The following is a 22,169-nucleotide window of genomic DNA, read 5'->3' on the forward strand; positions in this document are numbered from 1 at the left end:
CCAGGGATGCCACAGAATGCCTGAGGCCACCAGACGCTGGAAAGGGCAAGGAGGGACCCTTTCTTAGAGACTTCGGAAGGAGCGATGCCCTGCTAACACCTTGATTTCAGATTTCAAGCCTCCAGAATTGTGAGAGAATCAGTGTTTGTTGTCTTCAGTTTCCCTATCTGGGCTCCCAACTTTGTCATGGCAGTCCCAGGGAATGAATGCACCTGCTCCTCTCCTTCCCAGGACTCATTGTAATTATGCATTCCCAGGTGGGATTTTTTTCAGTAATTTCATCTCCCCATTAGATTACTAGATTATCAGAGTTGCAGGTTAAAAAGCATGCCCGACTCCCTTCTATTCTCTTGCATCCTTCATCCAAACCTCATCTGCCCTGCATCAGAAAATCCTACTTTCAAAATAACCTAAATCCAACCACTTCCAACCCCCCTCCATCACGCCTATCTTGGCTCAAGCCAGTACCATCTCCTGTCTAGGGCCTGAAGTCACCGCCCTTGACAGGCCTCTGCTTCAATGCTTGCTCCCCAAAAGTCAACACAGTGACTAGGTTGATCCGTTTCACATGTAAGCCACAGCATGTCATTCCTGTGTCCAGAACTTTCCAGGGCTCCCCTAATTGGCTCACGGCTAAAAGCTGAAGTCCTTCCAGGGGGCCTGCAGGCCTCCTATTACCTCTGGCTCATGTCTTCTCCCCTGATGCTCACTCCAACCTCCTGCTGCCCCTTGGCTATACCGAGCATGCTATACCTGACCTTTGCTCAAGCCATCCCCTCTGCCCAGAATGCTCTTCTCATACCCCCTTGGCTCCCCATTGATCCCCTTCTTGAAAAGCAGCTGCCACCTTCCCAGAGTCTGCCCCCATGACTACCACTGCCAGCTGTCCGCTGGTTTTGTTTCCCTTCTCTCCATAGTACGTGCCACCTTCTAACATACTATAATAGTAAACACTATGATTTGTTACATTTCCTGCTGATGTAGTTTGGATCTGTGTCCCTGCCCAAATCTCACGTCAAATTGTAATTCCCAGTGTTGGAGATGGGGCCTGGTGGGAGGTGATTAGATCATGGGGGTGGATCTCCCCCTTAGAACTGTGTTTGATAATGAGTGAGTTCTCATGAGATCTAGTTGTTTAAATGTGTGTGGCACCTCCCCAGTCTTTTGCTCCTGCTAGGGGCATGTAAGCAGTGCCTGCCTCCCCTTCACTTTCCGCCATGACTGTAAGTTTCCTGAGGCCTCCCAGAAGCAGAAGCCACAATGTTTCCTGTACAGCCTACAGAACCGTGAGCCAATGAAACCTCTTTTCTTAATGAATTATCCAGTCTCAGCCGTTTCTTTATAGCAGTGAGAGAATGGACTAATACATCTGCCTTGATTTGCCTCCCGCACTAGAACACAAGCTTCAAGGTGGCAAGAATCCTTGTTTTGGTCATTTAGGCATCCTCAGCACCTAGAACACGACCCAGCACATCATAGGCCCCCAGTAAATATTTGCTAAGTGCTCAGGGCTCTTCTGTTTTTGCTCAGCATTGTTTCCTCAGTTCTTATGACAGTGCTGAGTACATGAAAGGTTTCCAGAGGTGTGTTGTGTTTTTGTGTTGTTGTTATAATAAAATGAATAAATAAAAGAAAGAATCTGGCCAGGTGTGGCGGCTCATGCCTGTAATCCCAACACTTTGGGAGGCCAAGGCGGGCAGACCACTTGAGGTCAGGAGTTCGAGACCAGCCCGGCCAACATGGTGAAACCCTGTCTCTACTAAACATACAAAAATTAGCTGGGCATGGTGGCACGTGCCTGTAATCCCAGCTACTCAGGAGGCTGAGGTGCAAGAATCACTTGAACCCGGGAGGTGGAGGTTGCAGTGAGCAGAGATCGTGCCACTGCACTCCAGCCTGGGCGACAGAGCGAGGCTCAGTCTCAAAAAAAGAAAGAAAGAAAGAAAGAATCTGCTGTTATTCTTTCTTTCCCTCCTCCTCTCCTTTTTTCTCCCCTCCCTCTCCCCACCCTGGCTTTTTCTGCTTATATAGCATTTATTGTGTCCTTGAAGCACTAACACAGAATGACCTACACACCTGATTCCCAACCATGCACCTCCAGGAGACGGTCATCTGACCTGTGTGTAGCAGGGCAGGTGCCCTGGGGAACCATCCCCATGAGGCATCACTGGAGAAGCAGCTCTGACTGCTGAACGCACACACAGGCTCCGGGGGTGACTACTGATGCCTCTCAGATCAGACTTTTCTGGGCCCTTCCTGGATGTGGGCGTGGGAGAGCCTAGGGGAAACTCAAGCCAGTGGTCAGGGAGATAAGGCAGCACAAGCTGAGAGGCAGGGGTGGCCCAAGAGCTAGTGAACAAATATATATATATATATAAAAATATATATATATAATATATATATAATATATATATTATATATATATTATATATAAAATATATAATATATATATAATATACTTTTATATATAATATATATAATATATATTTTATATATATTTGTTTTAGAGATAAGGAAACTGAAGTCAGGGGCTAAGTGACCTGCCCTAACCCCACAGCTACTAAGTACAGACCTGAGACCCTAATCTCAGTTTTCCGGCTGTAGATAACCCAGGGCTCCTTCCCTGCCAGCTCCAGCACCCAAGTGATGGCTCGGCTTGTTCAACAGACAACCCCCGGAGCCTGTGTGTCTACTCCGCAGTCATAACTGCACTGTGCCTTCTCCAGCGATACCTCATGGGGATGGTTCCCCAGGGCACCTGCCTCACTGTACACAGGTAGGATGACCGTCTTCTGGATGTGCACGTCTCCCAGCAATCAGGTGTGTAGGTCATTCTGTGTTAGTGCTTCAAGGACACAACATATGAAATTTAATAACATATTAAAGAAAAATGCACACAGCAAACAGAACAGAATCTATATCTGAACCAGATAATCCTGTGGTTCCTTAATAATCTGTGGTTCATGGGTCAAGGAGGCTTTGGTGGTTTTGGACCCTTTTTACTTTGGTTACATTGTCCTTCTACCGGCTTGTATGTCTACACTGTAAGCTTCTTGAGAAATAAGAACAGCATATTACCATCATACTAGATATTCATTTTGATTTCTCCAAGGGAGTCACAATTTAAAATATTCAGTCCTGTTATTCCCATAAAAATCCAAATACCCAAAATTCCAGTGTTTTGGCATCCAAACACTGTCTCCCAGACTGTTTGCTTGAAGCCAGATGTAGAACAAAATCCCTTTATCAGAACAAACACGACATTCCTTGACTCGGAAACTATGTCTACTGTGATTATTTTTGCCTCTGCAGCACTTAGCACATATATGGCCCCCAAGAAGAACTTGTGAGACACAGTAAGGTTTTGCATAGCCAGGAAAAACAAAAACAAACAAAACAGAAAATCGGGAAGGCATGAAGGAAGAGATAGGCTTAGGGTCAAAGACACGGGTGCAGGGCCCAGCCACAGGCAGGTGTGGGTCGGGCACAGGTGAGACCTGGGAAAATGGTACTGCCAAAGGTTCTCCATAGACTTCCTGCCAGGAGAAATGTGGGTGGCCTCCACCTTTGGTCAAAGTGGGGCCCCAAGAGCACTGGGGCCAAAAGGTACAGGGAGACACGTACAGGACGTGCCCTGGAACATGAGCTGTGACACAGGATAAAACTCAGTTGGTTCAATGTTCTAAAACTGCATTCATGTCTTCATGCGGGGGTACAAATGAAGCCACAGGCAGCAGCCGCCTCCAAATATCCCACCTCATTTTAGGTAAAAAGTGGATGAGAACACTGGAACTAGATTCTAGTACTGGCATCGAGGTGCTCCATATAATTTTTTTAAGGAAATGACTGAGGAGAGGACTCATGATTCCTTCCAGCAGTGCTGGGGAAATGGCTCTGACAGACACTATTATTATGGCCAGACGTTTCCTCCTGGAAGAGCTGCAAGAGGTGAGCCTCTCTCTCTAGGGGACCAAACTCTCAGTCATTTCTAACATGGGTGAGACAAGACCTGGTCCACAGAGTGCCAAACGACCGTGACCAGGCTATCACAAGGACACCCAGAGCTGTGCAGGGAGTGTGCTACGTTTTTCCTTGTGACCTCAAAACATCAGCTGTTTCTTCCAAGCTCTGATCTAAGCACCAACTTTTCTACATCCCCATTTATAAGGGATGTAAGTCGGTCCCCAGTTATAGGCAGGAATTGTGGTGACATCCTGAGTCCCAACCACACACTTGGTGTTTCATTTCTTCTGATCACACGTCAGACCCTGACTGACTTACTGTAATTTAAATTCTTGAGAATGAGGTTGAAAGCCAGCCCTCTGACACGGCAGTGCTTACTACTGCAATCTGTTTGAGGCTTGCCAGCTAGGAAAATATCCAAAATAATAACAGTGGTGCAATAAATCACTTCAGCAGGGCTGCTGTCCCCGAACCCCCTTCCTTAGTTTATGACCCAGGGAAAATATCTTAGGGTCCTCAAAGGAGGATTCTTTGGGGTGGGGCAGGTGATGAGCTGCCATTAGATGACCCACCTGAACATAGGGTCACTTCCTAAGACTACCTACAGGCAAAGGATCCAAGCATGTTTTGTTTTGGTTTGGTTTGGCTTTTTTTTGTTTTTTTTTGAGACAGAGTCTCATCCTCTCGCCCAGGCTGGAGTGCAGTGGCATGATCATGGCTCACTGCAACCTCAGCCTCCCAGGTTCAAGTGATTCTCCTGCCTCAACCTCCCAAGTAGCTGGGATTACAGGCGTGTGCCACCACGCCCGGCTAATTTTTGTATGTTTAGTAGAGACGGGATTTTGCCACATTGGCCAGGCTGGTCTTGAATTCCTGACCTCAGGTGATCCACCCGCCTCGGCCTCCCAAAGTGCTGGGGTTACAGGCATGAGCCACCGCACCTAGCCCTAAGCATGATTTTAGAGGTCATTGTCAATATGTTCTCTTGGAGACTCAGAATGTTAATTTCCAATCTGTCCGTAGTTGCTCCCAGAATGGAAGAAACCAGTGACTGTTTCTAAATGAGATCACAGCCTCACAAGTGAGTTAGTATAAAGGGGTCCTGGGCGCACAGGAAGAATAATCATAGGTGAGGGGCCGAACTTTTGCTCTCCTGCTGAACTGGATGTCTTCCTTGAATTCCTGAAAAGTCTATTTTGTCCCAATGTAGTGATAAAATGTAAATGTTGGTTTTTTTCTCTAACCTTATATTATTAAGTTAACAAAAGTAAAATTCTACTTGAAAAAAAGGAAGTATTGAGTTATAAGGACTCTTTCAAAGTCTTCTGCTTAAAATGATGGAAAAGGAGACAGGTATTTCTGTAGTAACACGGCAAATGTATTCCAGTAAAAGTTCCCAGTCTAAAACCCAGCTCACCAGCCAGCCCATTCAAAATCTATACAGGTCTAGAAGCAGAAGACTGAAAAAAATTAATTTTAAAAACACATTAGCACAATTAAGGAGACACGTTGAGTTGCTCAAAACAGTGTTTAAATACAGCTGTAATTATAGGATTTGATCTGAAAAGGAAACAAGCAGGGAGGCAGGTGATGCCAGCGATGGAAGGCGGCGTGGAGATGGAAGGCGGCGTGGAGATGGAAGGCGGCGTGGAGATGGAAGGCGGCGTGGAGATGGAAGGCGGCGTGGAGATGGAAGGCGGCGTGGAGATGGAAGGCGGCGTGGAGATGGAAGGCGGCGTGGAGCTGCTGAGTTGAAGGCTAGGGCAAAACGGAGAAGAACCTGAGCAATGCACCAGCACAGGCCCCACTGACGCCGAGGAACAGGAGGCACAGGGCACCACGCACGGGACTCCGCAGCTTCCACGCTCGCCCCTGACAGTGCACTCTGTGGTCAGGTGCTGGTGCTGGGTCCCACAGACTATTCATAGACTCCACACTCACCCGTGACAGCGCACTCTGTGGTCAGGTGCTGATACTTGGTCCCACAGCCCATTCATAGACTTTACACTCACCCGTGACAGTGCACTCTGTGGCCAGGTGCTGATACTTGGTCCCACAGACCACTGATAGACTCCATATTCACCCGTGACAGTGCACTCTGTGGCCAGGTGCTGGTGCTCGGCCCCACAGACCATTCACAGACTAGCAAAAGTCACACATGAACCAATGCTGCTTCTGTGTCATAATGACATCATCCCTGTATCTGCCAACCACACAGGGCAAATATGCACTAGAAAAACACATGTGACAGCAGACCAGCCTGCCCGGCCGCCTCCTAGGCTTCTCCTGCTTAAGCTCCCTTAAGCACTGCAGCCACTACACAGAAGCTTTGTTGATTCAGCGCATCCATATGTGCAGACACCGCGCTCACACAGGGTGGGGAATACCCAGAAATGCAAGAGACACATTTTCTGCAAGCGGCTCAGCATTTGGCGAGGGTGCAGATGAATAAATCAATGTGAGATAACTGTCAGAAAAGAGAGATGTACACGGTTTGATCACTAGTCCAGCTGTTGGACCTATACCACTTCTATCTGTTGACTTGGGAGGCAATTTTATGGCATCATTAGGAGCAACAACTCAAGGTTTAAAGCTGCCTGGATTCTTAATCTGCCCCTCCTGGGAAATGTGAGCTGAGTCATCCCATGCTCCCTGTGTCTGTTTTTCTATAAGGCAGAGGTAATAATAACAGTACTGTCTTCCATGTTGGAGGAATAAATGAAATCACGTGCATAAGGCACTTAGCACTGTGCCAATAATGCTTGGAGCTGATTCCCACTCTCCCTCTGCTAAAGACTGAAGCATCTTGAAGGCAGAGAATCCCTAGGGCTTTTTGTCATGGCCCTTTCCATGCCTGTCACATAGCAGGCACCTCACAATGGTCTGCTGCAAGAATGAATGCTAATAGGTAAGAATATGCATTTGAGAACTGCCAAAGGCAATTCTTTTTCTTTACTCCTTTTGACACTCACAATTCCATGACGGAGGAAGAGCCAGCGGTGGGACCTGCACCTTCCTGATGACGACACTGAGCCTTGGAGAATGAGGGCATCTCACCCGAGGCCACATGGCTGGTCAGCAGAGCGACCAGCACCAGCATCCCAGCCTGTGAGCCCCATACCTTCCAGCCTGGACCACAGCCACATCTGCGCCTATAGAGTCCTAGGCCGGCACAGCGCTAGGCTAAACCAGCTCACAGCCTGCACTAGGGTATTAAACACAGTTTCTAATTCTGACATCTTGGGGTTTCTCGATCACAAAATCCCATTAGCTCAACACGCCTACAAAATACTCGTATGTGAGACAAGATGTGGTTATTTTTAAACTGCATTTCAAACCGTTCTGTGTGGGGAGATGTATTTTTGGCACACACTGACTTTAATTATGCACCTGTGACAGTGGAATCACACTGCATGTGGCACTGGCTCTGGAAGACACAAACCACAAAAGTGGGCTGACCTCGTCCCCATTTCCCTGTGGCACAGGAGCACAGCCCTGCTGACACCTCGATTTAGCCTAGTGTGCTCCCCGTGGGGGACTGGGGCTGTATGTCGAAGCCCACAGACACACATTGCAAACGACACTGTCCTGTCTGGGGTTGACACCAGGTACCCGAGTAGGGTCAGAGCCAGAGGCTGGGGATGGCGGGCCCAGATTTGGCTATTAAAGCAGCAACTTCACAGTCTAAGAGCAGGTACGGAGACTTTCCTGTGAGAAAGCATCAGGGTAAATAAGATGCCCCTGAAGAAAGAAAAACCCACGAAGACAAATAGCACTGATGTGATCCCCATGCACGGCCTCCTTTTCACCCTGACCACAGGCAGGAGAGTGCGCTCAGCCAATGCATTCACTGAGGGGAGCTTGGCATTCTGCCTGGGGTGGGCCTCTCACGGGTGAAAGACTACCTGAAGCCAGGAAGACGAAGTGAGGACAGCCTCGCCGGCTGCTCCCTGCTGGACGCCCCATCTACGGTGAGGCTCCTGTGCAGCCCAGGAAAGGTAGGTCAGTGAATAAACACCATCTGCACCTCAGCCAGGTCTCCGTCCATATCCTCAGTGCACCTCCCATGTTGCAGGTGCTATTCTGCACACCAGGGGCTGGGCAAGCAGGAGAAACAAGGCCACATCTAACATGGGGCTTACTCACAAGGAAGGGGCAGATACAACCCAAGGAAATAAGTAAATGAAGGTTCAGAGAGAGACCCAGTCACCCAAGACCAACCTGGGACTTTCCTCATACAGTAACTAGAAGCCACCAGAGCCTTTCAACAGAGGAAGGAGATGATCCAGGGAATGTTTTAAAATCAGAAGTCACCTAAGGTCACCACTCAAGGAACTCTGTGAGTGATTAGGACTCTCATCTTTCTGATGAGGCAACTGAGCCTCAGAGACATGAGATCATTTGTTCCAAAGTCCCCCAATCTAGAAACATCAAGGCCAAGGTCTGCACTCAGCATGCCTGTCTACAACATCTCATTGGCACACCCTGCGTGGCACTCTGCCGGTGGAATTCCCAACTGGAGGGACAAAAACACCACGCTCCCCCGACCTTCCCATTCAACCCCAACACATTTAGGATTAACAGGACCTTTTAATTTTTGACCGAAAGCACAAATAAATGTGAACACTTTCTCTTTTTCAAAGGATAATTTCAATTATAGAGAAATCATGCAAAGCATCAGACGACAGCTCCCCTAATTAATGCACAAAACAGGCTGCACACGCCCTGCTTGGATCTGACTGTCATTTCCTCAGAGGCCTGGAGCCCCGTCTAGGGTACTGGAGGCACTGTGGGGACACGAACATAGCTCCAGCTCAAGCTTTGCGGGCTCATGTGTTCATCCCTCATAAAACATAAGAGATTGTTTGCAGTTGACAGTTGTGCACATCCAAATATTTCTTATTAGTTATTATTCTTTTTTTATACGAGTATTTATAAACCAACCTTCGGATCTCCTTAAAGTTAGTTCTACAAATGTTCTACCTGAATTCGTCTGAACTGAAAAGTGGCGGAGGTTAAGCAGTTCGAAAGTCTGTTTGATGCGGTGCAGTCTGAGGGGTGGGGTGGAGAAAGAGCAAAGCTTGGAGTCAGAGCTTGGCTCAGATGCCCCCAATCCCATGAGCTCCCTGGGAAGGAACCTTATCTGTTTGTACACAGTTCCCAGCACAGCAGCTGCCCCTAGCACATTTACACAGACCGCTGGGGGAGTCAGGGGTCCACTCTGCCACTTGGAAGCCATTAGCTTTGAGTGCACCCTTGATGGCTCTCAGGGCCAGGGGCAAGGAACCTCCTCCCTCCCTAGGCCAGAGATGGTGCACGTGCAAAGGGGCTTGGAAACTACTCCCAATACAGAAGAGCTATAGAAAGAAAACTAGAATATGGTGCCATTAGAGAGCCACACAGGACGGTAGAGATCAAGTGCTAAGTTGAGAAAGAACAGATCAGCAGGAGGTGGGGCAGGAACAAAATGCCCTGGGGATGGGGCGGCAGAATAACTCCTACCCAAAGATGTCCACGCTCTAATCCGCAGAACCTGTGCATATATTAGATTACACAGCAGAGAGGAATGAGGGTCACAGATGGAATGAAGGTTGCTTGAGGAAGGGAGATGATCCCAGGCTATCCAGGTGGGCCCGGTGTAATCTCAAGGATCCTCAAAAGGGGAACAAGAAATCAGAACAGAGAACCAGACAGGCAGTCACATGAAGACTCCATCTGCCTTTGCTGGCTCTGAAGAAGGAAAGAGCCACTAGCAAGGAATGGGGCAGCTTCTCAAGACTGAAAAGGGGAAGAAAATTGATTCTCCCTACAGTCTCCAGAAAGAGCATCGCCCTGCATACCTTGATTTAGCCCAAGGAGACGTCTGTCCTCCAGAACTGTAAGAGAATACATTTGTGGGAAGAGGCTACGTTTGTCACAGCAGCAATAGGAAACTCATACATGGATCAGATGGGATTCATGTGAGTGGAGCATGGTTGGGCAGTAGAAGTTTCAGGCAGGGGAACCTGCTACAGAAAGGGCCTGGAGTCAAGAATTGCACGGCGTGTAGAGTGTGCAGGCAGGAGCTCACCTTCCTGGAGCAAGACCTCGGACTGATGGGACTGACAGAGAGGGAGGCCTGACAGTCTTGAGGCCCAAGGTCAGAAAGGCCCTTGAGCCTCCAGGAGGGAGACCAGCCAGGATGTGCATGGTCCCAGGAGCCATGCAGGGCTTGACCCGGGGGAACACAATGGAGGGAGCCACAGGAAAGCCTGGAAGGTGTGTGTGTGGCAGAGACAAGAAGCACTGGCAGGGAGGCAAGGGAAGACAAATGCCACTGCCTCGTGTGCCACGGCTCTGCCCCGCCATGCCCCAGGCATTCCACCTTCTCCTCCTGTCCTTTCTGGACCAACAGCATATGGAAGAGAAGTGTTCAAAAGGTGGAAGAGGAACAACCTGGGTCCAGGTACTGGTGGTCTCACTTTTACTCACGACAGTCTTTGGAGAAGACATTGCCTCCCTGAGTCTCAGAGCTCTCTCTGTAAAATTAGGATCATTCAGCAATATCCTTTCTTACTGTGAGCATCCAGGCTAATGCATTTTAAATCCTGCGCATTGCCTGATCCAAGCTCAAGGAACCAGAGCAATAAACAAGGCAGTCAAAATCCTTCCAACCACAGGGCCAGGTACCTGGATGTTGAGTCTCCCTCGATGTGCCCCCAGGCCATAGCGCTTCACCGTGGAGGCATGGAGCTGGAAGTCTGTGATTTTTAAGGTTTCCAGACCAAGAGGTGGGCAACCTGGAAAGGACAAATGCTTGTTAAAAACAACGACAGATGCTGAAAGGGATGAGTTTCTTATTTTCTAAATCTGGCCGCGTGCTTTTCCATTTTCCCCTGAACTCCCACCCACAGGCATGCCTGGTCTTTCCAGACACGGTTGATTGAACTGTCAACATTAAGCCAATGTTCTTTCTTGTTGGCATTTGCTTTAGGGGTGTTTTTGCTCTGATATTCCTTCTCTTTTGCTGTCCATGCTACTGTCTGAGGCTGTTCCCAATTAAGGATCCTTCCCCAACATGACTCAGTCAGGAAGCATCATTGGAGCTCTGCAAATTAATCAGAACTTGCGGATTTTGCTTCAGCAACTCTGGCCTTTATATTGTGCATGCTAATGAGCAGAGGAATATAAGCAGAAAAAAAACCTATTGTTTTCCAGTCTCTGCAAAATGGATAACATGGAGCACAGCTAGTAAACACCATTTGCCCCTGGAATAAAACACCAGTGCTTGATCGTCCCAGCCTAGCCCATTGTCCGTAAGAATGACAATGCTTAAAGCAGCATCCAGAAGGGGTCTCCTGACCTCTGGGCTGCTGTTTGCCCCCACGCCCACCACAGTGAGTGGTGGAGCATTTAGTGAAGGCGGAGGGGTGCACACAGTGAGTGTGAAAGGCCATGCAGCGAGAGGGGGCCACATGATGAACCGGGGGTCCCCGCATTGAGGGGGTTTGTGCAGCAGGCATGCCAACCACCCGAGGCTGACCTCACAGAGAAAAACTTGGCTACCATGCCCCCTTCCTTCCCCAGGGTTTGCCCTCACACCTTCCAGGCCTGAAGGACATGAATCTGACCCATGTGGTGGCAGTTCCTGGGTCCCACATGTTCACTCTCCATCCTGCCTACCAGAAATGGACCTCAAGTGGCTGACCAGCAGGGTTAATCCTCACACGACATACTCAGAAATCCTCACTGCTGGGCCTCCAACAGCCCTGCCTCCTCATAGAACCTTCTCATGCTGTCCCAGAAGCCCCACCCTGCCACTCTCGTGGTCTGGCACCTCCGCAGCTTGGCCCCTGAGCCCAGGTTATAATCCCACACCCCGTCACTCTCTGAGACAGCTGGGAGCCTGGGCCCGTGCCCTTCACTCTCACCTCAGGACAATGGGCCCCTGCTGTCGGATGCCATTCGCCTCTTGGAGCTCACAGTCCCCAGCGGTCACTGGTATCCACCAGAGGGCCTTGTCAGAATCCAGGGCAAGCTCTGAGAGTCAAGGCCACTGACCCATTAGGCTGCCTGTCCCTTTGGAGAGGCTTGACTCCAGGACATCCTGCAGCCTGGCCCCAGGAGCCTGGGCTCTGGCTGAAGCTCTTGGGCTCCCTAAGCTGGGGTTGCTGCCCTGCTGTGCCCCATTCTCATCCTCGTCTCCTGCTCACTCCTTGCTCTTCTCCCCATCACCTGGTCTCAGCCTATCCTGCCTTAGACACAGTCAGCATTCTCAGGAATAACCGGTCTGTCCTGAGAGATCCCGCCCACCGAGAGACCCCACCCACTGAGAGAGAGACCCCACCCACTGACTGTGACACCAAGCTGGCTAGGCAGCAGGTTCTGTCAGGCGATTCCTGGTGGCCTGGGAATAGCCTCTATTTATCTTCACTCTGCCAGCTGTGGTTTCAGGGTTCAAGGGACCTGGGGGGTTTCAGACCCTGATGGGGAACCAGGCACAGGTCCTGTCCCTCCATGTCCTGGTACTCAATACATACCCACAACAGTCCCACATAACCAAGCATCAGAAACACCAAAAGGATCTGCTGCCATCTTATGAACCTATTTCACTGCCGTGTTGAAGGCCTTCCAACCACCAGCTTCTTCCTTGGTAGCAGAAGACACAGCAGGAGGTAAATTCCATGGACTTCCTTCAGCAAAGCCACCTTTATTTATATCATTTATACACTCTAAGTGAGAGACGGACAGATGGACAGATAGCCCACCAGATGGACAGGCAGACATATATAGATCATGTACCAGCTCAATAAAGCAACAATAATTGCTATTCAAAACATTTCTTCCAGAAAAAGAGCACGACTCCTATGCACGTGAGTATTTTAATTCAAAAAAGGAAGTACCTGACTAAAATTACATATCCATCAAAATTGCTTTTCTGTCGACAGACAGAAGCTCTGTCACATCCTCTTGCCAAGATACATAAGGGGTGAAAAGAAAGTGCCCCCAAGTGAGGTGTTTCATGGGTGCACGTCTAATAGCAACTGAAAAGTGCAATGCCTGCCCTCTCACGGGCTGAGTTTCCCGCCGCCAGCAGTGCTGGCAGCTGCCACATCTAACAGCCATTCTTGTCCACTCCTGTGATGGTGTCACGGCAAAGCCAGAAACTTCACCCCCTCCACCCACAGCACAGATGATGACTTTGGTGGGGGAGCCCAGATAAACACACACGAACTTGGCCTGCTCGCAAACGTAGTCTTACAGGAACCCAATGCTCTGACACTGGGATTTTTTGTCCTTATTAGAAGATGCTATTTTTAGAGCCATTAATTTTGGTTTGGAAGCCTTCTCCATTGCCCGTGCCACTTACAAAGAAGCTAGAGATTCCACACAGAGAAAACACAATGTCCTTGAAAGGCAAAGACAGAGTTACTGATCCGCCTGGGTTAGTGAGGGCCCTTTGGTTTTAAGAAACCTACCACAGCCAACTTAGACAGGAAGGGAAATCCCTAGAGAAATGAGAGGGATGGCAGAAAGTGAGAAGGACAGAGGCGGGACACAGGACACGTGCAGGTGGAAAGGCACAGAGCTCCCGTCATCTAGGAAGCAGAACAGTGGATTCCAATGACACTGTCCACCTCCTATCACACCTCTGAGTTTCCACTCAACCTCACGCATGCCTCCAGAGAGGGCCTGACTCACCTGGTCCCCTGGCTGCCCACTGGGATCAGGGTGCTGTTAGCAAAACAAGGGGACGCCAAATTCACAACCGACATGGGGCACGGGACGGGCACCTGCAGCTACTGCCCAGAGCTGAGGGTGAACACAGCTCAGGCAGGCTCGCCCAGCTTCTGAGTTATGGGTTCTTCCAACTGCCTCCTCCTGGCCAACCCCAGGAGGGGCAACACCTCCATCTCTGCTTCTTCTCTCCCTTCCTTTCCTGGGATTTTTGCTCCTGACTCCATTCATTCACAGTGGCCCTGGTCACTTTGTGGCCCTTTGGGACTCCTCAGCCTCTTCTCCGTTTTTCTGTACTGGGCCCCACAATTTCTCCCTCTCAGCCACTCCTCCACCCCCACACCACACACAGCCCTGGTTTCCATCACACAATGTTCTGCTCTTTCTCTTCCCTCTCGGTCCAGACCTTCCTTCCTTGTTTGGACTTTTCTTTCCACCTTCCCCAGGGCAGTCTTTCCTGGCTGCAGCACGGGCTCATCACCCTCAGACTGATTCCCTAAGAGAGCCCCTCCCCTTCCCTTTAACAATCCACCTTCTGAGCCCACACTTCAGCTATGAGGTGTCACAGGCACCGTCTATGCCACTCAGCGTCCAATCACACGCACAAAGTTTAAATTCAGGACCGGGTGCGGTGGCTCACGCCTGTAATCCCAGCACTTTGGGAGGCCGAGGCAGGTGGATCAATTGAGGTCAGGATTTCGAGACCAGCCTGGCCGATATGGTGAAACCCCATCTCTACTAAAAAATACAAAAAATCAGCCAGGTGTGGTGGTACACGCTGTAATCCCAGCTACTCGGGACGGCGAGGCAGGAGAATCGCTTAAACCTGGGAGGCGGAGGTTGCAGTGAGCCGAGATCGTGCCACTGCACTCCAGCCTGGGCTACACAGTGAGACACTGTCTCAAAAAAAAAAAAAAAGTTTAAACTCAGACGACTTGCTTGTCTGGAGACTGGCCTGTTGACGTGGCAGGCAGGCCTCAGAACCCTGGAGGCCCCCATCAGGCAGGTGTGAACGCTGCAGCTGGAGTAATCCGCCTGCAATCTGCAGCTGAAGCAAATACCCAATCATCTTCCAATGTCTGCTGCAAAAGAATCTCCTCAAGCTTGTCACCACTTCTTCCTCGGCACTCTGTCCCCTCACTTTTGTGTGGCAGAGGCTGCAGTATCAGTCAGGCACACAGCAGTAAAGTCAGCTTCACTTGGAAAGTTCTTATTTAATCAATCTTCCATTCTTTATTTTTCCCTTTGATAGCCTCCTCTCCTTCCTTCCATCCCACGTCTGCCTCACTCTGACTTCACCCTATTTTCCATGAGCATCAGGGCAATTCACAAATGCTACTGCAACCCAGCCTAACACACGGCGCCATGCCCCGCAGTAGGCATCCTGCAGGCTCAGATAAAACTACACACTGAGCCAGCTGGGAGTTACCCACCTTCCCCAAATCCCATTTTAAAACATTTTTTAAGTTAAAAAGAAGTTTAAGCATAAAGTAGTCTAAGCACAAGCCCACTATCCCACATCCCTTTATGCAAAGATCAACAAGGCAAAAATCCCATGTCAGAATCAAGCATCCCAGGAAAAGTTCCCAAGCCCATCTTAAAGACATATTGAACATCTGACACAGGAATCTCCACATTTAGAAAAAGGCAGGATTTTCCTATGCTAAAGAATGAGAAAGTAAGGGGCTAGAAAATAAAAGACAGGAAAATTATCTTTTGCTTTAAAGATCTAAATTAATTCGAAATACATAATATTGAAATACTCATGCTTAATATTTCACTCTGAAGAATTTCAGAATATTTCAACCTGATTCATTTTTCTTCTTTTCTTTCTACCTTCAGAGCGTCATCCTAGAGATTTCTTTCTTTTTTTTTTTTTTTTTTTTTTTGAGAAGGAGTTTCACTCTTGTCACCCAGGCTGCAGTGCAATGGTGCGATTTTGCTCACCGCAACCTCCACCTCCCAGGTTCAAGCAATTCTCCTGCTTCAGCCTCCCAAGTAGCTGGGATTATAGGCGCCTGCAACCATGCCCGGCTAATTTTTGTATTTTTAGTAGAGACAGAGTTTCACGATGCTGGCCAAGCTGGTCTCAAACTCCTGACCTCAGGTGATCTGCCCGCCTTGGCCTCCCAAAGTGCTGGGATTACAGGCATGAGCCACTGCGCCCGGCCCATCCTAGAGATTTTTGACAGGTCTACTCAATGTCCAAAATGAATAAAGTGACCTGCTCCTCCCCCTTGGGTTCTCCTGCTAAGGGGAACAATACTACAGTGGGGAGAAAATTATGCAGGATGAGGAAACCACTTGCAAAGCATGCGAGCCACGTAAGAGAGAGGAGGTCTGGGGAATCTTAAACCTGCAGAATGGTCTGGAGGCCTCAGAGCCACAGGGGCTAGGGTAAAACATTTGAAAACATCTGCAGTTCCTAGGCCTTCAGAGGCCTTGAAAAGTGGATGAGACCTCTGTCAGCCCCACCCTGGGCTGGCAAAGACCGAAGGGAGCACAGTGCAAACAAGTCACCAGAAACCAGCAGCTCCCACTCCCTTAGGCCAGCGCCCAAGGCTGCTCTTGGTCCCTGAAGTGACATCATTGTCAGCACTTCAGTCTCTGGGCTGCACCCTGGTCTTTGGACCCCAGCCACCATGGGGAACTGCTGCTAACACCGTAACCCCTAGGCAGCTTCTCTGAGGCAATCAGCAGCCAGACAAGATCCACAGCATGAATGAACCGGCGTCCAGGAAACCTCCATGTCTTCAAAACCAGAAATCTCAAAAGAAAGGCAGAGACGGCAGAAAGGAGACAAGTACTGTCTCGCAGCCACAGTCCCGGGCTTGTCTAGGACCTGCCAGGAGATGACCAAGAGTGATCATCAGAGTACACAAGATTTTGCAGCAGCAACCTGTGCATTCTAAGGGCTGAAGGAAAAGAAATTGGGATCTGGAAGCCACTACCAGCTAAGTTATAGTCAATAATCACGGTAATTGTCACGGTAACTAAGGGCTTTTTAAGACACAAGAGTATTTGGAAAATGTACCCTACTCCCAACATAACCATAGGCCTTTACTGAAAGAACAGCTAGAATCACGTGCCCAGAAACATAGACACAAAGGCAAGCAGACACGTGACCGGCAGGTGCAGCAGACACTGAGGACTGCATGGCACTTCCCGCAAATAAGCCCAGAGGACTCTGCCAGCCAAAGAACTCCAAAAGCATGGCAAAGTTAGAATGAGAGGTTAGAACTCCATCGACTTTAAATTCTCAAAGAAATATCTGGTTCTGGTCCAAGGACCTGTCAATCACAATACCACTTCCAAGGACTAGGACTTTTCCCCATCCTTCAGAAAACATTACCAAGAAAGACGGGAGTGTTGCATAGGTGACTAAGAAAAACGGAGGAGAAGCAAGGTTTCAAAGCTTAATTTAAATATCTGTAATCAGAGATTTTAAAAAAATCTTTGTTGGAACTGTAACATATTTGTATTACAATGTCAATTGATGACATAATGACTAGGTTTAAAGAGTGCTTGAAATAAGTAGGAAACTCATTGGCAGCTCTTCATCCCTCAGCAGTGTTCTGCGGGGGTTCCCAGCCAGGCTGCAGGAAAGCGGGCTCCGACAATTAATCGCTCAGTGACTCTTGAGCCAATTTGTTCCAACAGCCTCAAGACGAGCTCCCCATTTCTCCCCTAAAACAAACAAATTCATCCTTTTTCATTAAATCAAGTTTCTGTTGCTTCTAGGAAGAAAAAAGGATCTAATCCTGAGAAGCATGTGGGTGAGGAGAACACAGAAAAAAGTGTGAAAACACTTCAGGAAAATATTAATTAGAAATCAGAGATGTGTCACAATCTAGAGGAAAGGAGAGTGACAATCATCCACGATGAATCTGCTTTTCTCTTAAAGAGAGTGCAGCTCTCTGAGAACACACCACGCTGAGCAGGGCGCCATCTCCCAGCCCCATGCTCTATTCCTCGGGAGGCGAGCATGGCGTCCTCTGCCTCATTCTACCCCACCCCACGCACGTACTGCCTTAGCTCTGTCTCTTGCTAGCAGTCTCTGCATTACATATGCTTTAAAAAGAGGCATTTGCCCTCTGGCACAGATTCATTAGTCCTCATCATCATCATCATCATCACCACCATATATTACCATTTATGCACAGCAGCTCTTGAACAAACTGCAAATGTCCACTGCATTTAAGATCATGGAGGCCTTTGTGGCCCAGAAATTCCAGGACACAGTCAGAATACAGCATATAAATAAGAATTCTGAATCTAGCACTGACCCCAACACCCCACCTTCAGTATCCCAAATCTGTCCAGGGGGTGGGGGGCCGTTATGAGTCGTGTCATGAAAATTATTTTAAAAGTGTAGTGATTTGGGGAGCAACAGGGAAAACCTGCAGGTAACTACTGCGAGCCAGACTGGCTAGAGACTCCTGTCATTGTATCTGTACAATGACCCCAACAGATGGGCATCGTCGCTCATCATCGCTGAGACTCAGGGATGCCGAACACAGTTCAATAGTCGTTAGGTGTCTTGAGTTATAAAATCTCAAGCATAATCTTTACACCACCTCCGTCTGACTTGAAAACTCGAGAGCATAACACAAATGAAGTTGCTTGATGGTGTTTGGGGTCACACCAGGAAAAGAGCTGGAGCCAAGACAGGCATCCCCCGCTGGCAGAGCAGAGCTCAGAGTCCGAGGCCCTGTAGCCTACTGTGATCGCCTCAAGACGTGGTGGGCGCTGCCAAGAACAAACTCACAGCCCTCCTGAACTTTTGCTTTCATTGTCGCCTATAAATGGAGTAGCTTCGACTTAATGGAATTCTTGCCTTCGCCTTTCTGAACTTGACATTCCCTTTGATCAGTGAAGTGTGAAGGCAGCTTCCCAGCACACTGAAAATCTGTCTGCAGTAGCTCTCTGCCTTTCTCAGATACCACTGGCTTCCCAGAGGGACAGGGCCTCTCTCTGGGTCTTGGGAAATCTCTGAGCCAATCTCAGCCTTACCTAGTCGTCCTTGGAAAGCTCTTTAACACCCACCACAGGAGAGATGATCCTTCAGACCCTCATCACTGAGCTCCTCCAGAGAGCAGCTCTCACCCCAACTGAGCATCACAATCTCCCAGGAAACTTAAAGGAAAGGTGCCCTAACCCCTCTCCCAGAAACTGATCAATAGGCTAGCAAAGGAACCCACCACTGGTCGGAAGTTCCCAGGTGATTCTTCTGAGACAACCAGTCTCAGAAGAGAGTCCCTGCAAACCTGGCTGGGGTCTTTTACCTGTGAGGCTACACAAGCTCAGAGATTTTCTTTCCCAGACCCCAGTGGATCCAACAGAGGACACTCTCAAAGAATCGGGTTCCAGCCCATGCTGGCTACAGTGGCTGATATCTGGAGTCAGCCCGGAGCCTCAGCCTCAAAGGTTCTGACCACCTACCTCCTTCTTAAATGTCCAGCTCAGGGGCTGTTCTGTCTGAAAAGCCTCCCAAGACTTCCTCCCCTGCACTCAACCCTCCCAGCCTACCCACTCCTACCTTTAGCCTAACCTCCTAGGAAAAGTCCACACTGTTACCATGGTAGTTTAGTCTGTCTCCCTGAACAGGCTGTGAGCCTCAAGAGCAGCAATGACAAGTTTTCATCCTCGAATTTCCAATGCCCAACCAATGTTCCCAAATGAATGAATCTGCATTATGATCCAGTATAACTGATAATCTCTATGTCTGCATCATCATGGAAAACTAACACCATTCTTTATACGTTGCTTATAAGGCTCAAAAAAAAGGAATTATTGGTTCAAAAGAACATTTCTCAACCCTCAAGCACTTGCCTATTATCAGCTTCAGAAATTTTTCCACATCTATGTACCACCTGCACTATTATTTCCTTAATGTTTTTATTTAAATCAAATTACTTTAGTGAAAATATGTTCATGTAAAAGGTAACTTTATCACTAGAAGATAACGTGAAAATATCTTCATGACCTTGGGGTGGGCAAAAAACATTCTTAGTCCAAAGCAACAAGTACTGACCTCAACAGAAAATATTGATGATTGGTCTATATTAAATTTAAGAGCATTTATTATTCAAAAGACACTTCTACTAGAGTTAAAAAGTGAGCCAAGAAGTGGGATATTCACTATGCATGTATCTGATACAGGACTCATATTCATCGTATTTTCAAGAAAAACAAACAAACAAACAAAAACCCTCCTATAAATCAATAAGAAAAACAACAAGCAAAAGAACTGAGCACATATTCACAAATGAGGTTATCCTAATGGTAAGTAAGCATTAGTCACTAGTCATCAGGAAAATACAAATTAAGACCACAATGAGATATCAGCATATACCCACCAATAGGAAGAAAATAAAGGCTGACAATATCAAATGCTGGTAAGGATGTGAAGCAACTAGAACTTTCATTCACTGCTGGTAGAAGTGTTAACTGATACAATCAATTTGGAAAAATCTCCACCAGTACTTAGTGATACACTGTGATCCAGCAATTCTTATAGGTATACATGCAAAAAAAATTCATATATACACCAAAAGACTTATTCAAGAATAGTCTTAACAGCACCATTTATAATAGCAAAAAACTGAAAACAATCCAAATGCCCATCAAGAGAATGAATAAATAACCTGCAGTATAGTCATGCACTAGAATACTATAAATCAATAAAAATAAATGAACCATGCTATATACAACAACATAGACAAATCTCATAACATCATATTGAGCAAAAGAAGTCAGACACAAAAAAGCATACAATGTATGATCTGATGAATATTAAGTTCAAAACAGGCAAAAGTTGTATCTGATGGTGGTTATCTTTGAGGAGAAGCAGGAGTAATGGTTACTGGCTGGAAGTAGGAAGGAGGCCTGAAGTTGAGACCTCAGAACGAAAATATTTAAAAGACAAAAGGCTGCTAGAAACTGGAAACTCTACTGTATTGGAGGTTCTGCATTTTGAGCTAGTCAACATTTACAGATCTGAGAAAGGGCTTAGACTGTCCCTCCTGGAGAAAATCTGGCTGAATCTTGCCTCATTGAAAAATAAAGAATGAACACTAATGTACAGTCTGTGCAGAACAAAAAATTCCACCAAAAGAACGTTAAAGGAGGTATACCATCCAAAACACTCAGAGAAATGTGACCTTGAAAGTAACTTGATATGCTAGCTAGGAAAATATTTTACCCAGACACTGTTCATCCTTTGTATAATCCAAGAGTCATGGCTTCAACTTGCCATAAAAAAAGAAAAAAAAAACATGCTGAAGAAAAGGATAAGCAGAAAAATATTTTAAATAAGGCCAAATAGCAAGAAAACTAAAAATATAAAAGCAGAATTAAAACTCACAAGGAAGATCTATTCTTTATGAATGGGGGTCTTTGCCAACACAGTAAAGGAAAATAAATAAAGGTATAAGAATTGAAAAGGAGAAAACAAAATTGTCATTATTTCATATACATTACGATTTATACTTAAATATCAAATAATATGTGATTAACAAGAGTTTAGCAAGATTGCTGAATATAAAAATCAACATTCAAAAATTAACTATACACCTGTAGTCTACCAATAAAGAGTAGAAAATTGAAATTAAAAGTATCACAGAATAGCAAGTATCAAAGAATAAATCTATTAAAAGATATATAAGACCTCTAGCGATAAATTTCTACAAGCGATATTAAAGAAGGTCTAATAAGTGGAGAGATATACCATGTTCATGGATTAGAAGTCAATGTTGTAAATGTGTTCATTCTCCCAAATTGATTCGTAAAATCAATGCAAATCTAAATCAAAATTCCAAGAACTTGACTTGACATCATGTAGAACTTGACTACATGATGTAAATGTGTGCGTGTGTGTTTACAAGTACACACAATGGGTCAAGAATAAACACAACTTTTAAAGAAGAATGGGTCCTGCTCTACCAGATGTCAAGATTTGTTATAAACCTACAGTAATTAAGAAAGTGAGATATTTCAAGCATGGGTAGAAAAATGAATTAATAATAAAGATTAGTGAGCCTGAAAACAAAGCCAGGCATATATGGATACTTGACATCCAACAGACAGGTGGCACTGCAAAATAGTGCCCTTTCATTTGGTACTTAGTACTTGTCTTAGTCTATTCAAATTGCTGTACCAGATTATAAACAACAGAAATTTATTTCTCACATTTCTTTTTTTTTTTTTTTTTTTTTGAGACAGAGTCTCACTCTGTAGCCCAAGCTGGAGTACAGTGGCACGATCTTGGCTCACTGCAGCCTCCACCTCCAGGGCTCAAGTGATTCTTGTGCCTCAGCCTCCTGAGTAGCTGGGACTACAGGCATGCATCACCACGCCAGGGTAATTTTTTGTATTTTAGTAGAGATGGGGTTTCACCACATTGCCCAGGGTGGTTGTCTCAAACTCCTGAGCTCAGGTGATCTGGCTGCCTCAGCCTCCCAAAGTGCTGGGATTACAGGAGTGAGCCA

The 22,169-nt window shown here is 47.1% G+C and overlaps 1 protein-coding gene across 6 annotated transcripts in view, besides 3 other annotated features; it reads right to left on the bottom strand.

The window, feature by feature from the left end:
* Positions 1–22,169, bottom strand: part of CPXM2 (carboxypeptidase X, M14 family member 2) — a 198,466-nt gene that overhangs the window by 106,343 nt on the left and 69,954 nt on the right. For 5 of the 6 annotated variants that reach the window (XM_017015673.2, NM_198148.3, XM_011539285.3 and 2 more), the window contains one exon: positions 10,633–10,742. In XM_017015673.2, the coding sequence (XP_016871162.1) occupies positions 10,633–10,742 (110 nt within the window). Of the gene's footprint in view, positions 1–10,632; positions 10,743–11,873; positions 12,207–22,169 lie in introns of those variants that run through there. The other variant, XM_011539286.2, reaches the window with a different exon arrangement.
* Positions 7,696–8,196: an enhancer, noted in NCBI's record as "H3K4me1 hESC enhancer chr10:125619193-125619693 (GRCh37/hg19 assembly coordinates)". NCBI's record gives its function as "activates a minimal SCP1, AML or CMV promoter by ChIP-STARR-seq in primed H9 embryonic stem cells {active_cell/tissue: H9 hESC(primed)}" and the evidence as "EXISTENCE:reporter gene assay evidence [ECO:0000049][PMID:30033119]".
* Positions 11,697–12,438: an enhancer, noted in NCBI's record as "H3K27ac-H3K4me1 hESC enhancer chr10:125623194-125623935 (GRCh37/hg19 assembly coordinates)". NCBI's record gives its function as "activates a minimal SCP1, AML or CMV promoter by ChIP-STARR-seq in primed H9 embryonic stem cells {active_cell/tissue: H9 hESC(primed)}" and the evidence as "EXISTENCE:reporter gene assay evidence [ECO:0000049][PMID:30033119]".
* Positions 13,985–14,792: an enhancer, noted in NCBI's record as "H3K27ac-H3K4me1 hESC enhancer chr10:125625482-125626289 (GRCh37/hg19 assembly coordinates)". NCBI's record gives its function as "activates a minimal SCP1, AML or CMV promoter by ChIP-STARR-seq in naive H9 embryonic stem cells {active_cell/tissue: H9 hESC(naive)}" and the evidence as "EXISTENCE:reporter gene assay evidence [ECO:0000049][PMID:30033119]".

Source organism: Homo sapiens, chromosome 10 (assembly GCF_000001405.40).
Source record: "Homo sapiens chromosome 10, GRCh38.p14 Primary Assembly".
Taxonomy (NCBI): domain Eukaryota; kingdom Metazoa; phylum Chordata; class Mammalia; order Primates; family Hominidae; genus Homo; species Homo sapiens.